Source organism: Homo sapiens, chromosome 14 (assembly GCF_000001405.40).
Source record: "Homo sapiens chromosome 14, GRCh38.p14 Primary Assembly".
Taxonomy (NCBI): Eukaryota; Metazoa; Chordata; class Mammalia; order Primates; family Hominidae; genus Homo; species Homo sapiens.
In genome coordinates this window covers 50,251,465-50,266,077 of record NC_000014.9, presented here as the reverse complement: position 1 = coordinate 50,266,077, position 14,613 = coordinate 50,251,465, and the positions used below count along the sequence as shown (strand labels likewise).

The window sequence follows — 14,613 nt, the reverse complement described above, 5'->3', positions numbered from 1 at the left end:
AACTCCTGGGCTTAAGCGAGCCTCCCACTTCAGCCTCCCTAGTAGCTGGAACTACAGGCACACACCACCATGCCCAGCTCTGTTTACCTCCTGAGCTGATGAGGTTTTCTTCTGATATTGGCCAAAAGTTGATTTTCATTGATTCATTGATTGATTGGTTGATTGAGAGAGGGTCTCTCTCTGTCGCCCAGGCTGGAGTGCAGTGGCACGATCTCAGCTCACTGCAACCTCTGCCTCCTGGGTTCAAGCAATTCTCCTGCCTCAGCCTCTTGATTAGCTGGGATTACAGGTGTGCACCACCACACCTGTCTAATTTTTGTATTTTTGGTAGAGACAGTGTTTTGCCATGTTGGCCAGGCTGGTTTCAAACTCGTGACCTCAAGTATTCCGCCCGCCTTGACCTCCCAAAGTGTTGGGATTACAGGCGTGAGCCACCACTCCTGGCCTTGATTTTCTTTTAATCTGTAGTTTTTCTGACTTTGCCTAGATTTTTGTGATGACATAAAAAAAGAATCTAATAATTATAAAGGTATTTTACGTAATAAAGAATTCCTTTCTCTCATAAAGATTTTTTTTCTCTGTTTTCAGTGGCTTGATTAAACTGGCATCCCAGAATTTTTCCTATGGAGTTACTGAAATGTATAAAGCATGTTTTCTTGGTGCAACAGTGAAGTATCTTCAAAAATTCATCCCTGAAATTACTATCAGTGATATACTTAGGTAAGGAAAAGGGATAAGGAGTGTAAATACAGTCCTGACCTATGTGAACTTGAGAGGTGGGTCTGACTTGGTGATTAGTAAGTACCATTTCAGAGTCAGTCTGCATATGCACTGAATTTTTGTTTGCTTTCTTTCCCAACATGTTGTTGAATTCCCTTTGCAGTGCATTTATTGGGCATTGCTACATCATGGCCCTTAGTGCTGGTCCATTTATAATTATCTAGACTGCCTTACAGCTCTAATCTGAAATCTCTATGACAGCTTTATTGTGATGCTACCTTAGCCTTTTTGTCTAACTATCACTCCTGATAAAAACAACTTGCCTGAATTTTTAAAAATCTCTCTGGCCAGTTAGTCTTGTGATTCCAAAGCCTTTTGGCCTTAATTTTGTATAAGATTATTGATCACTATGTTAACTAATTAGGTAATAAGCACATTAAAACATTATATTTTGATTGATTCTTAAAACTTAAAAAAAACCTTTTAGGTTTGGGGTACATGTGAAGGTTTCTACATAGGTAAACACATGTCATGGGGTTTATTGTACATATTATTTTATCACCCACATATTAAGCCCAGTACCCAATAGTTATCTTTTCTGCTTCTCTCCTTCCTCCCTCCCTCCCCACTTAAGTAGACTGCAGTGTCTGTTGTTTCCTTCTTTGTGTTCATGTGTTCTCATCATTTAGCTCCCACTTATAAGTGAGAACATGTGGTATTTGGTTTTCTGTTCTTGTGTTAGTTTGCTAAGGATGATAGCCTCCAGCTCCATTAAAACCTGTTAGAAACACACTCCTAGACCTGGCATCTCACCTTGCTTCTTCTCTACTTCTTTTGTTCTTTCTTGGACCTTACTGCACTCAGGGACTCTACTTTCAGGATAGAAGTGGAAAGCAGTGTGGTAACAATCAGAGTCCTTGCTACAGGGGTGTGGGGCAAAGTAAGGACAACTTGCATCTTTTATTTTTATATTTTTTCTGAAATGGAGTTTCGCTCTTCTTGTCCAGGCTGGAGTGCAATGGCACCATCTCAGCTCGCTGCAACCTCTGCCTCCTGGGTTCAAGCAATTCCCCTGCCTCAGCCTCCTGAGTAGCTGGGATTACAGGCATGTGCCACCACGCCCGGCTAATTTTGTATTTTTAGTAGAGACAGGGTTTCTCCTGTTAGCCAGGCGGGTCTCAAACTCCCGACCTCAGGCGATCCACACGCCTCAGCCTCCCAAAGTGCTGGGATTACAGGCGTGAGCCACTGCACCCAGCCACATCTTTTATTCTTAAAGATAAAAGACTGGCACGGCGGCTCACACCTGCAATCCCAGCACTTGGGAGGCTGAGGCGGGTGGATCACCTGAGGTCAGGAGTTCGAGACCAGCCTGACCAAAATGGAGAAACCTTGTCTCTATTAAAAATACAAAATTAGCCAGGCATGGTGGCACATGCCTGTAATCCCAGCTATTTGGGAGGCAGAAGCAGGAGAATGGCTTGAACCTGGGAGGCAGAGGTTGCAGTGAGGCAAGATCACACCATTGCACTCCAGCCTGGGCAACAAGAGCAAAACTCCGTCTCACAAAAAAAAAAAAAAAAGATAAAAGGCTTTCTAGACTTGATCTGTAGATTATTCTTAATACCACCCAAACCTATTTTTTTCCCCTCTTTGGTAATGTTTTTAGTGTTCACCTTTTTTCCTGAGCAAGCCATTCGTTAGGCCTAATCAGCAGTGTACTTTGAGGTACTCTCACCCTCCATTTACAATCCATCCCTCCATGAATTTTCTTAGCACTAGATATCTGCTTTCTCTGCAACAGCTGCTGAACTAGCCTGGTAAAAAATGTCAGCAGGCTTGACTGTGTATCTGTGTAGAGAGCAATAATCATGTCAGCTGTCTCTCTTAGGGGAGCGTCCTCGTTTAAATCTGACTGTAATGTATCATTCTGAGACCAGCATGTTTGAATCCTTAGAAGATTAAAACTCAGCTAACGTTTTTCCTCTTATCTCTTTCACTCCTCTACTCACCTTCTGAAATAGAAGGGATAAAAATATCTAGCCATTATTTTCTTTCACTCACTTATAAGTAAGGGCTTTTATGTTTTCAGTGATCTGCTTTAGCAAACTTGTGATGTTTTATATCTGAAAATAGACTGGTCAAATCTGGTTTCTATTACTGCTATTGATATTCCTTGGAAAACAAACGAGGTGAGCATAGTGAATTCTGTATAAAAATAGTTGCAGTGAATTCACTGCCTGTATTCAGTTACCACCCTTTATAGAAGCCTGAGGAAAACTTTTTAGACCACTGGATTTCATATGGTAGAACTGGACTTCGGGCTTGTGGTTATTAGTGAACTCTCCTGTCTCTGGGTGTAAGGGTGTGAATTTCTGTTACCAATTTCATTGGCATGTAGTAGAAAAGGGCACAGCACTGCAGGCAGGTGCATTTGGGGACAAATTCAACCCAATCACAGATGAGTTCCTCTTTAAAGAGAGAAAAGCTAACTAATTCAGCAATTCCATTTGCTTCGTCTCTTGATTCCTATAGTTATTAAGTGCAGGAAATTATTAATAACAAAAAGGAAGCTGTAGAAGATATGTTTTTGGGTTTCTCGGGGGAAGATACGTTTGATACCATTTGTATAAGTTTTAAAACAAGTATAGCAAAACCATATATTGCTTACGGATTATACATGTAGTATGAAAATAAAAATGAGCAGGGGAGTGATAAACACCTAATTCAGGAGAGTGGTTACCTCTGGTGAGGGAAGAGAATGGGATCTTGAGAGTTCTACAGAGGCTTCTATCATATCGGTAATGCTTTGTTTCTTAAGCTGTTAGATAAAAAAATGGGTATTCATTGTGTTAGTCTCTCTTCCTTGTGATAGCCTGAAATATTAAATAATAAAAATAAGATCAATAGACTTTTTTTTTTTTTTTTTGAGACAGAGTCTCGGTCTGTTGCTAGGCTGGAGTGCAGTGGTACAATGTCGGCTTACTACAACCTCCGACTCCCTGGTTCAGGCGATTCTCCTGCCTCAGCCTCCCGAGTAGCTGGGATTACAGGCACGTGCCACCATGCCCAGCTAATTTTTGTATTTTTAATAGAGACAGGGTTTCATAGAGAGCCAGGATGGTCTCAATCTCCTGACCTCATGATCCTCCTGCCTTGGCCTCCCAAAGTGCTGGGATTACAGGGGTGAGCCAATGCGCCTGGCCAAGATCAATAGACTTTTCCACAGCTTGAAGCCTAAGTCCTGCCTTGTCTCCTTTGTCTTGCAACCAGTATACTAAACCATAAATGCCCTTAGTATTGCAGTGAAAGCACATCAGGCATTAGTAAATAGTAAAATATAGTTGAAGCAACACTTTCAGTGGGGTGTGTTTCCCAGGATGGTGTCCTTAAATTTCATTAACCACTGAAGGGCACCCAGGTTGACTTCTCATTGCTTAGCCAGAGCATTTTGGGCAATAATTTACTGGTGAACATGAGATTGGAATATAAAGTTACAATCTGTTAAATATTTGCATTAGATAAACTTCTCATTGTTAAATGATGGTCTCTAAGACTCTTAATGTTAGCTCTAGGCCAGGCACAGTGGCTCATGCCTGTAATCCTAGTGCTTTGGGAGGCTGAGGTGGGAGGATCGCTTGAGCCCAGGAGTTTGAGACCAGCCTGGGCAATATAGTGAGATGCCATCTCTACAATTTTTTTTTTTTAATTAGCTGGGCAGGTGGTGCACGCCTATAGTTGTAGCTACTAGAGAGGCTTAAGTGGCAAGATCCCTTGAGCCCAGGATGCTGAAGCTACAGTTAGCCATTATTGCACTACTGTCCTCCAGCCTGGTGGAGAGAACAAGACCCTGTCTCAAATATATATATAGCTCTAAACTTTAAAAATTTGTTCTGTGATTAATTTTGACATGTTAATCTAACAGCAGTTTGTATCTGTTAGCACTGTAAAGATGTAAAAGACGAAGACATATATGTCACAATTTCCCCATTTTCAATTTGGAAAATGTCTTCTGTGGGGAATTCTAGAGTAAACTTTCAGGCAAGATGTTTTCATAGCAAGTGATAACTAGAGTGTGTGAAACACAAAGGTGCAAAACTCAAACATTTCTACAATAAAGTTGTAATGGCTTATGGTGATCTAGATTAGGGTTTCTCAGTCTTGATGCTATTGACATATTGAGCCAAATAATTATTTATTGTGGAGGAGTGTCCAGTTCATTGTATAATTTTTTTTTTTTTTAGACGGAGTCTCACAGTGTTACCTGGGCTGTAGTGCAGTGGTGCCATCTCGGCTCACTGCAACCTCTGCCTCCCGGGTTCAAGCGATTCTCCTGACTTAGCCTTCTGAGCAGCTGGGATTACAGGCGCCTGCCACCACACCCGGCTAATTTTTTGTATTTTTAGTAGAGATGGGGTTTCACCATGTTGGCCTGGCTGGTCTCAAAGTCCTGACCTCAGGTAATCCACCCGCCTTGGCCTCCCAAAGTGCTAGGATTACAGGTGTGAGCTACCGTGCCCAGCCATTGTAGAATGTTTAACAGCATCCCCAGCCTCTACTCATTCTCCTAATTGTGGCAACCAAAAATATGTCGACATTGCCAGATGTCCTGTAGGGGGCAAAATCTCCTTTGGTTGAGAACCACTAGTGTAGAGAATTTGGTAACCTTCACACTACAAAATAGTAATAAGAGTCTGGAGGAAATATGATAAACATCCTTGAAATACATATAGCTGAGAGTAAGGGAAAGTAAGGGGCATCCCAGAGCAAAAAACAGAAAGAAAATTAAAATTCATACTAAAAGGAGTTGGTGCTGATGCTGACTTGGAGAGGTGGGGATGGTTTGCTAATTTTAATAACTGAGGGGCTTGAGTTATATTTGTAATTTATGTGTGACTCAACGTATAAAATATGTAGATCTTAAATGCTTAGTAAATTTCGATAATTGTACAAACCATATCCACCAGTCAGAACAAGATATAGGACATTAGGGACTTGTATTTTAATTGCCACTCAAGTGCTGAAAAAGAAATCTTGGGTCTATACAAGGTAGAAAGTTGGAACTCAGACTCTAATGTAAGGCCCCCTAGGGGCTCTTGAAAGGCTATACCCTCAGAAGAAAGGAAGTCTGGAAAAAAAATATTCCCCTTGGCACTGGGAAGTATTAAGGAACTTTGTCTATCTTGGTCTTGGGGATGGGGAGTGGGAGGAATCTTCCCCAAAATCTAGAATCCCTCAAAGTGCTTAGATTTTGAACGTATACCACCAGCTTGGTTTAGGAACTGTAAGCTAACAAATTAACTGAAAAAGTAGAGCCAGACATTTTTGGATCCTGCTTCAATCAATCTCTCTCTCTCTCTCTCTCTCTCTCTGTCTTCTTCTCTCTCCTTCTTTCTCCCTCCCTCCCCTCCCCACCCCCTCTAATTCAAGTAAATTAGAGAGACTAAAAATCAGATAATTTGACCACAAAATGACTACTGACACTAAGCAATTATTGGTTTATAATTATTTTTAAGAATTTTTTTTTTAAGAGTCTCGCTCTGTCTCCCAGGCTGGAGTGCAGTGGCGCAGTCTCAGCTCACTGCAACCTCTGCTTCCCGGGTTCAGGTGACTCTCCTGCCTCAGCCTCCTGAGTAGCTGGGATTACAGGCATGTGCCACCATGGCTGGCTGATTTTTTTTTCCCTATTTTTAGTAGAGATGGGATTTTACTATGTTGGCCATGCTGGTCTGGACTCCTGACCTCAAGTGATCTACCCGCCTTGGCCTCCCAAAGTGCTGAGATTACAGGTGTGAGCCACTGCACCTGGATAATTTTTAAGAATCTTTTTAAAAGAAATACACATTGAGGCCGGGCGGGGTGGCTCATGCCTGTAATCTCAGCACTTTGAGAGGCCGAGGTGGGTGGATTGCTTGGGCAGCCTTGGCAACATAGTGAGATCAGCCCAGGTGACATAGTGAGACCCCATTTCTGAAAAAAAAAAAAAAAAAACCGAAAAAGAAAAAAAACAGAAAGAAAAGAAAACAAATACACATTGAAGTGAAGTGGTATGCCATCTGGGATTTGCTTTAAAATAATTCAGTGGGGGTGTTGTGGCTCATGCATATAGTCCTAGCTACTTGGGAGGCTGAGGTAGGAGGATTGCCTGAGCCCAGGAGTTTTAATCCAGCTTAGCAAGACAACATGTCTAAAAAATAATAAAATATGGTTGGGCTCAGTGGCTCCTGCCTTTAATCCTAGCACTTTGGGTGGCTGAGGCAGGATTGTTTGACCTGAGGAGTTCAAGACCATTCTGGGCAATATGAGACCTTGTCTCTAGTAAAAATTAAAAAAAAAAAAAAAAAAAAGAGCCTGGCGTGGTGGTGCGCATATGCCTGTAGTCCCAACTACTCAGGAGGCTGGGGCAAGAGAATTGCTTGAGCCTAGTGGTCGAGGCAGCAGTGAGCCATGATAACACCACTGCACTCCAGTCTGGACAACAGTGAGACCCTGTCTCAAAAATAAATAAAATTAAATAAAAAATTATAAAATACTAAAATAAATAGGTCAGGCACCATGGGCTCACGCCTGCAATCCTAGCACTTTGGGAGGCTGAATCAGGAGGATTCTTGAGGCTAGGAGTTCCAAACCAGCCTGGACAATATAGCAAGACCCCATCTATACCAAAAATTTAAAAACTAGCTGGGTGTGGTGGCATGTTCCTGTAGTCCCACCTACTCTGGAAGCTGAGGCAGGAGGATTGCTTGAGCCCAGGAGTTAAAGGCTATAGTGAGCTATGATCATGCCAGTGCACTCCAGCCTGGGTGACAGAGCAAGACCCTGTCTCAAAAAATAAGACTGGGCGTGGTGGCTGACACCTATAATCCCAGCACTTTGGGAGACTGAGATGGGAGAATTGCTTGGGCCCAAGAGTTTGAGGCCAGCCTGGGCAATATAGTGAGACCTTGTCTCTAAAAAAATATTTTTAAAAAACAATTAGCTGGGTGTAGTGGTGTCCACCTGTGGTCCCAGCTATTCAGGAGGCTGAGAAGGGAGGATTGCTTGAATCTGGGAGGTCAGGGCTGCAGTAAGTTGTGATTGTGCCACTGCACTCCAGCCTGGGTGACAGAGTGAGGCCTGTCTCTAAAAAAAATAAAATAACCCAGTGGAGAGACATTGGTGTTGGATTGGTACATAGATGAAACAAGATTGGCTGTGTGTGTATAATTGTTGCAACTGGATAATACATACATGGGAGTTCATTATACTGTTGGTTTTCTTTCTTTTTCTTTTTTTTTTTTTTTTAACTTTTTGACGTGTTTAAAATTTTCCATTTAAAAAAAAGTGCTCTCAGGATAGTAATAGAAGCAAATGTAAAACCACTGCAGAGGGACACACCCTGAATCCAACCCCTCCCAGATGATTCCCACAGATAAAGTCGTACTGAACAGAAACTCACAATCAGAAGTTACAAACCACCATAAGTGAGAGTCAGCAGATAAAATAAGTGGCAGAATTAGACTTCCAACAACTATGGGTAATAGTAATAATAGAAACTGTAAAGTAAATATGCTTCAATTAATCAAAAACAAGGTAATGAAAACATGAAAAAAAAAAACCAAAGAAAAAAGAACTAGGCAAATTAGTTGGAAACCACCTAATGAGAATTTCTGGAAATAAAAATATAGTTTTTAAATTTTAAAACTCAGGCTAGGCTTGGTGGCCCACTTCTGTAATCCCAGAACTTTGGGAGGCCAACGTGGGAGGATTGTTTGGGTCCAGGAGTTCAAGACCAGCCTAGGCAACATAGTAAGATCCTGTCTCTACAAAAAGTTTTAAAAATTAACCAGGTATGGTGGTACACACCTGTAGTCCCAGCTACTCTGGAGGCCGAGGAGGGAGGATGGCTTGAGCCTAAGAGGTCAAGGCTGCAGTGAGCTGTGATTACACCACTGCCCTCCAGCCTGGGCAACAGAGCAAGACCCTGTCTCAAAAAAAAAAAAAATTAAAGGAAAAACCTCAGATGACTAGGTTAGACAGCTGGTTAGACCTACCTTAAGAGGAAATTATCAAATTGGAAGGTAACTCAGAAGAATTTAGAAAGCAATACTGCAAGATAAAGATGTATCCATAGAAATTAAAAGACATGGGGTTGGGCACAGTGGCTCATGCCTGTAATCCCAGCACTTTGCCAGGCCATGGAGGGTGGATTACCTGAGGTTAGGAGTTTAAGATCAGCCTAGCCAACATGGCAAAACCCCGTCTTTACTAAAAATACAAAAACTAGCTGTGGTGGGCACCTGTAATCCCAGCTACTTGGGAGGCTGAGGCAGGAGAATCACTTGAACCTGCGAGGCAGAGGTTGCAGTGAGCTGAGATGACACCATTGTACCCCAGCCTGAGTGACAGAGTGAGACTCCGTCTCAAAAATAAAATAAAATAAGACATGGAAAAGAAAACTGAGAAGATTCCAGCCTATCTCTCATAGGTGTTACAGAGAAATTGAGAAGAGGCAATCCTTTGAGGAGAGAATACTTAAAAATTTTCTAGAATTGACAGACCTCAAATTCAAGATGTACAGTGCATCCCATCTGAGTAAATAAAACTAAATACAAGATGGAAATAGATTTCCAATTTAGTAGAGAAGGAAAAAAAGAATATAGAAAACTCAATAAGTGAAGAAAGAGGAGATAGAAACCTTAGAAAATCAGGTTAGATAGCATAAAATAATATGGTAGAAATCAAGCATATCAGTAATTACAGTAAATGTAAATGTATTTAATAGTTAAGACAGATTATCAGGTTGGATTTAAAAAAATCTATGTGCTAGAAAAATGCTTTTAATTTTTTTTTTTTTTTTGTAAGACAGGCTCTCGCCCTGTCACCCAGGCTAGAATGGAGTGCAGTGATGTGATCATAGCTCACTGCAGCCTTGAACTCCTGGGTTCAAGCCATCCTCCTGCCTCAACCTCCCAAATAGCTAGGACAACAGGTGTGTGCCACCACACCTGCCTAGTTATTATTATTTTAGAGACAGAGTCTCCCTATATTGTCCAAGCTGGTTTGGAACTCCTGGGCTCAAGTGATTCTCCTGCCTCATCCTCCAAAAGCATTGGGATTATAGGCATGAGCCACTATGCCTGGTATGGACTTATATATTTAGATTAGCAGTGGAGTTTTATAAAATACTAGATTGTCTCATTGTATTTGGAACTGGCTGAAGATGCCTGTTACAGCTTTTCGTAGCTGTTTTTCCAACCTGTAGTGTAATGCTTGACATATGACAATAATGTAATACAAGACTTCTCATGAATGTATGTATTTAGTTACACATTCAGCTGTTCTTGTTTCTGGACATATTTTTTTTTCTTTTTTTGAGACGGAGTCTCACTCTGTCACCCAGCCTGGAGTGCAGTGGTGCGATCTGGGTTCAAGTGATTCTCCTGCCTCAGCCTCCCAAGTAGCTGGGATTACAAGCATGTGCCATGATGGCTGGCTAATTTTATGTTTTTAGTTAGAGATGAGGCTTCACCATGTTGGCCAGGCTGGTCTGGAACTCCTGACCTCAAGCGATCCACCCCTCGAGCCTCCCAAAGTGGGATTGGGCCTGAGCCACCCTGCCCAGGATATATTTAAAAATAAAAATTAAAAAAATAGAAATTTTAAATTTTAACTTAAAGCTTAAAGTTTCTAGCCTTATTGAATGCCTACTATGTGCAAGACACAGATCTGCACATTTGGGTGATGTAGGGGTGTTGACACCATACTTGCCCTCAAGACATTTATGGTTTATGTTACCTGAGATTTTCTTTTCTTTTTCTTTTCTTTTTTTTTTTTTTTTGGAGATGGAGTTTCGCTCTTGTTGCCCAGGCTGGAGTGCAATGGCTCAATCTTGGCTCACCGCAACCTCCACCTCCTGGATTCAAGCGATTTTCCTGCCTCAGCCTCCCGAGTAGCTGGGATTACAGGTGCCTGCCACCACGCCCCAGCTAATTTTTGTATTTTTAGTAGAGACGGGGGTTTGCCATATTTGCCAGGCTGATCTTGAACTCCTGACCTCAGGTGATCCACCCACTTTGGCCTCTCGAAGTTCTGGGATTACAGGCGGGAGCCACCTTTCCTGGCTGAGATTTCAAATAATAATACTTATTTCAGTTTGAAGTGTTCTGAGGGGAAAGCATATGTAATCCTACAAAGAAAAACCCTGAAGTTGCCTTAAGTGCTTGAAAAGGGAATGAAAAATTTGGTACTTTAAACATTTCATGTTAAAAACTTGTTTGAACTAAAATGAAATCGTAGGAAAAACATCATTATTATTTATTTATTTATTTGAGACAGGGTCTCACTCTGTCACCCAGGCTGGAGTGCAGTGGTGTGATCACAGCTCAACTGCAGCCTCTACCGCCATTAGCTCAAGGGATCCTCCCACCTCTGCCTTCCAAGTAGCTGGGACTACAGACACTCAGACACTCAACACCACGCCTGATTGATTTTTTTTTTCTCGTATATATGGGATTTCACCATGTTGCCCAGGCTGGTCTCAAACTCCTGTGTTCAAGTGATCCACCTGCTTTGGCCTCCCAAAGTTCTAGGATTACAAGCATGAGCCTCTGTGCCTGGCCAGAAAAACATTATTATTATTTTAAAATTTGGATTGTAGGGTTTTCAATATGTGGACAAGAGTATAGGGGACATTGAGAACATAATTTTTGTTTGTAAGAAAAATAAGTGTAGACATTTTTAACTGTGGTTAATCAATTTTAACCTTTATGTGCCTAGAAGGAGCAAAGGGAATGTACTGACTGATTCTCTATACAGCAGAGTTTTACATTGGACACTCAACATCAGTGGCTGGTCCTGATGTTGAGGGGAGAAATGCTACTTCGATGAGTTCAGATAAACTATAAATAGTATACAAAATAGGCCACATACCAGCTGATAAACATATGCGTCTCTACCCCAAGAAGTTTCAGCTTTCAGTTCCGTCCCTTCTTTTTGTGTTCTATGTGGTATATCTGATTCTTTAAGATTTTTTTTTTAATTTTTATGGGTGCCTAGTAGGTGTATATATTTTTGGGGTACATAAGATATTTTGCTGCAGGCATGTAATGCATAATAATCACATTATGGAAAATTGGTTATTCGTACCCTCAAGCATTTATCCTTTGTCTTATAAACAGTTCAATTACACTCTTAGTTATTTTTAAATATACAATCAAATTATTATTTACTATGGTCTCCCTGTCGTGCTATCAAATACTAGGTCTTATTCATTTCATTCTTTCTATTTTTGGGGGGAGGTATCCATTAACCATCCCCACCTCCCCTGTAAATCCCCACTCCACACTACCTTTCGCAGCCTCTGGTTACAGTCTTGCTCTCTTACCTCTATGCGTTCAATTGTTTTGATTTTTAGATCCCACTAATAAGTATGAACGGATGATATTTGTCTTTCCGTGCCTGGCTTATTTTACTTAACATAATGACCTCCATGTTGATGCAAATGACAGGATCTCATTCTTTTTAATGGCTGAATAGTACTCCATTGTGTATAGATACCACATTTTATTTATTCATTCATCTGTTGATGGACACCTAGGTTGCTTCCAAACCTTGGCTATTGTGAATACTGCTGCAGTAAACATGGAAATTCAGATATCTCTTTGATACACTGATTTCCTTTCTTTTGGGTATATATCCAGCAGTGGGATTGCTGGATCATGTAACTCTATCTTTAGCTTTTTGAGGAGCCTCCAAACTATTGGCCACAGTGGTTGTACTAATTTACATTTCTATTAACAGTGTATGAGGTTTCCCATTTCTCCATATCTTCACCAGCATTAGTTATTGCCTGTCTTTTGAATAAAAGCCATTTTAACTGAGGTGAGATGGTATCTCCTGGTAGTTTTGATTTGCATTTCTCTGATGATCAGTGATGTTGAGCACCTTTTCATATGCCTGTTTGCCATTGGTATGTCTTCTTTTGAGAAATGTCTATTCAGATATTTTGCCCCTTTTAAAATTGGATTATTAAATTTTTTTCCTATAGAGTTGTTTGAGCTTCTTGTATATTCTAGTTGTTAATCCCTTGTCAGATGAGTAGTTTGCATATATTTTCTCCCATTCTGTGGGTTGTCTCTTCACTTTGTTGATTGTTTCCTTTGCTGTGCAAAAGCTTTTTAACTTGATGTGATCCCATTCTGGATCATATTGTTTAATTTCTATGTGTTTATATAATTTCCAAAATTCCTCTTGTGATTGATTTGTAGTTTTATTCCATTGTGGTCAGAGAAGATGCTTGATATTATTCCAAATTTTTTGAATGTTTTAAGACTTGTTTTGTGATCTAACATATGGTCTATCCCTGAGAATGATCCATGTGCTGAGGAGAAAAATGTGTATTCTGCAGCCATTGGATGAAATGTTCTGTAAATAACTATTAGGTCTATTTGTTCTGTAGTGCAGATTAAGTCTGACATTTCTTTGTCGAGGTTCTGCCTGGGAGATCTATCCAATACTGAAAGTGGGGTGTTTAAGTCTCCAGCTATTATTATATTGGGGTCTATCTCTTTAGCTCTAATAATATTTGCTTTGTATAGCTGGGTACTCCAGTGTTGGGTGCATATATATTTACAATCATTATGTCCTCTTGCTGAATTGACTCCTTTATCATTATATAATAATCTTCTTTGTCTCTTCTTACAGTTTTTGTCTTGCAGTCTATTTTGTCTGATATCAATATAGCTATTCTAGCTATTCCTGCTCTTTTTTCATTTCCATTGTCATGGAATATCTTTTTCCATCCCTTTATTTTTAGTCTCTTTGTATCTTTATAGGTGAAGTAAGTTTCTTTTAGGCAACAGATCATTGGGTCTTGTTTTTTCATCCATTCAGCTACTCTATGTCTTTTTGACTGCAGACTTTAGTCTATTTACATTCAGTGTTATTATTGATAAGTAAGGACTTACTCCTGCCATTTTGTTATTTGTTTTCTGGTGGCTTTACAGTCTTCAATTCCTTCTTTGCTTTCTTCCTATCTTCCTTTTAATGAAGGTGATTTTTCTCTGATGGTATGTTTTAATTTCTTTCTTTTTGTTTAATTTTTTGATATCCATTGTATGTTTTTCTATTTTACCATGAGGCTTGCAAATACTATCTTATAACCCACTATTTTAAACTGATGACAATACTGATTGCATATGCAAACAAACACACAGAAAGAAAACTAATAAAAACTCTACACTTTAACTTTGTTCCTTGGCTTTTAATTTTTTTTTTTTCTCTTTATATCTTATTGTACTGTCTGTGTCTTGAAAAGTTGTTGTAGTTACTATTTTTGATTGGTTCATCATTTAATCTTTCTATGTAAGATGAGAAGTTTATACACCACAATTATAGTGTTATACTATTCTGTGTTTTTTATGTGTGCTTGCTGTTATCAGGAAGTTTTGTACCTTTATATGATTTCTTCTTGCTCATTAACATCCTTTTCTTTCAGATTGAAGAACTCTCTTTAGTATTTCTTGTAGGACATATCTAGTGTTGATGAAATCCCTCAACTTTGTCTGGGAAAGTATTTCTCCTTCATGCTTGAAGGATATTTTCACTGGATATACTATTTTAGAGTAAAAGGGTTTTTTCCTTCAGCACTTTAAATATGTCATGCCACTCCCTCCTGGCCTGTAAGGTTTCCACTGAAAAGTCTGCTGCCAGACATATTGGAGCACCATTGTATATTATTTGTTTCTTTTTTCTTGCTGCTTTTAGAATTCTTTCTTTATCCTTGACCTTTGGGAGTTTGATTATTAAATGGCTTGAGTTAGTCTCTGGATTAAATGCTGTTGGGGTTCTATAATCTTCTTGTACTCAAATGTTGATATCTTTCTCTAGGTTTGGGAAGTTCTCTGTTATCAT

General features: G+C 40.0%; 1 protein-coding gene across 11 annotated transcripts in view; it reads left to right on the top strand.

Moving 5' to 3' along the window:
* Positions 1–14,613, top strand: part of L2HGDH (L-2-hydroxyglutarate dehydrogenase) — a 69,796-nt gene that overhangs the window by 46,152 nt on the left and 9,031 nt on the right. For all 11 annotated transcript variants that reach the window (NM_001425212.1, NM_024884.3, NM_001425217.1 and 8 more), the window contains one exon: positions 589–720. In NM_001425212.1, the coding sequence (NP_001412141.1) occupies positions 589–720 (132 nt within the window). The remainder of the gene's footprint in view (positions 1–588; positions 721–14,613) is intronic.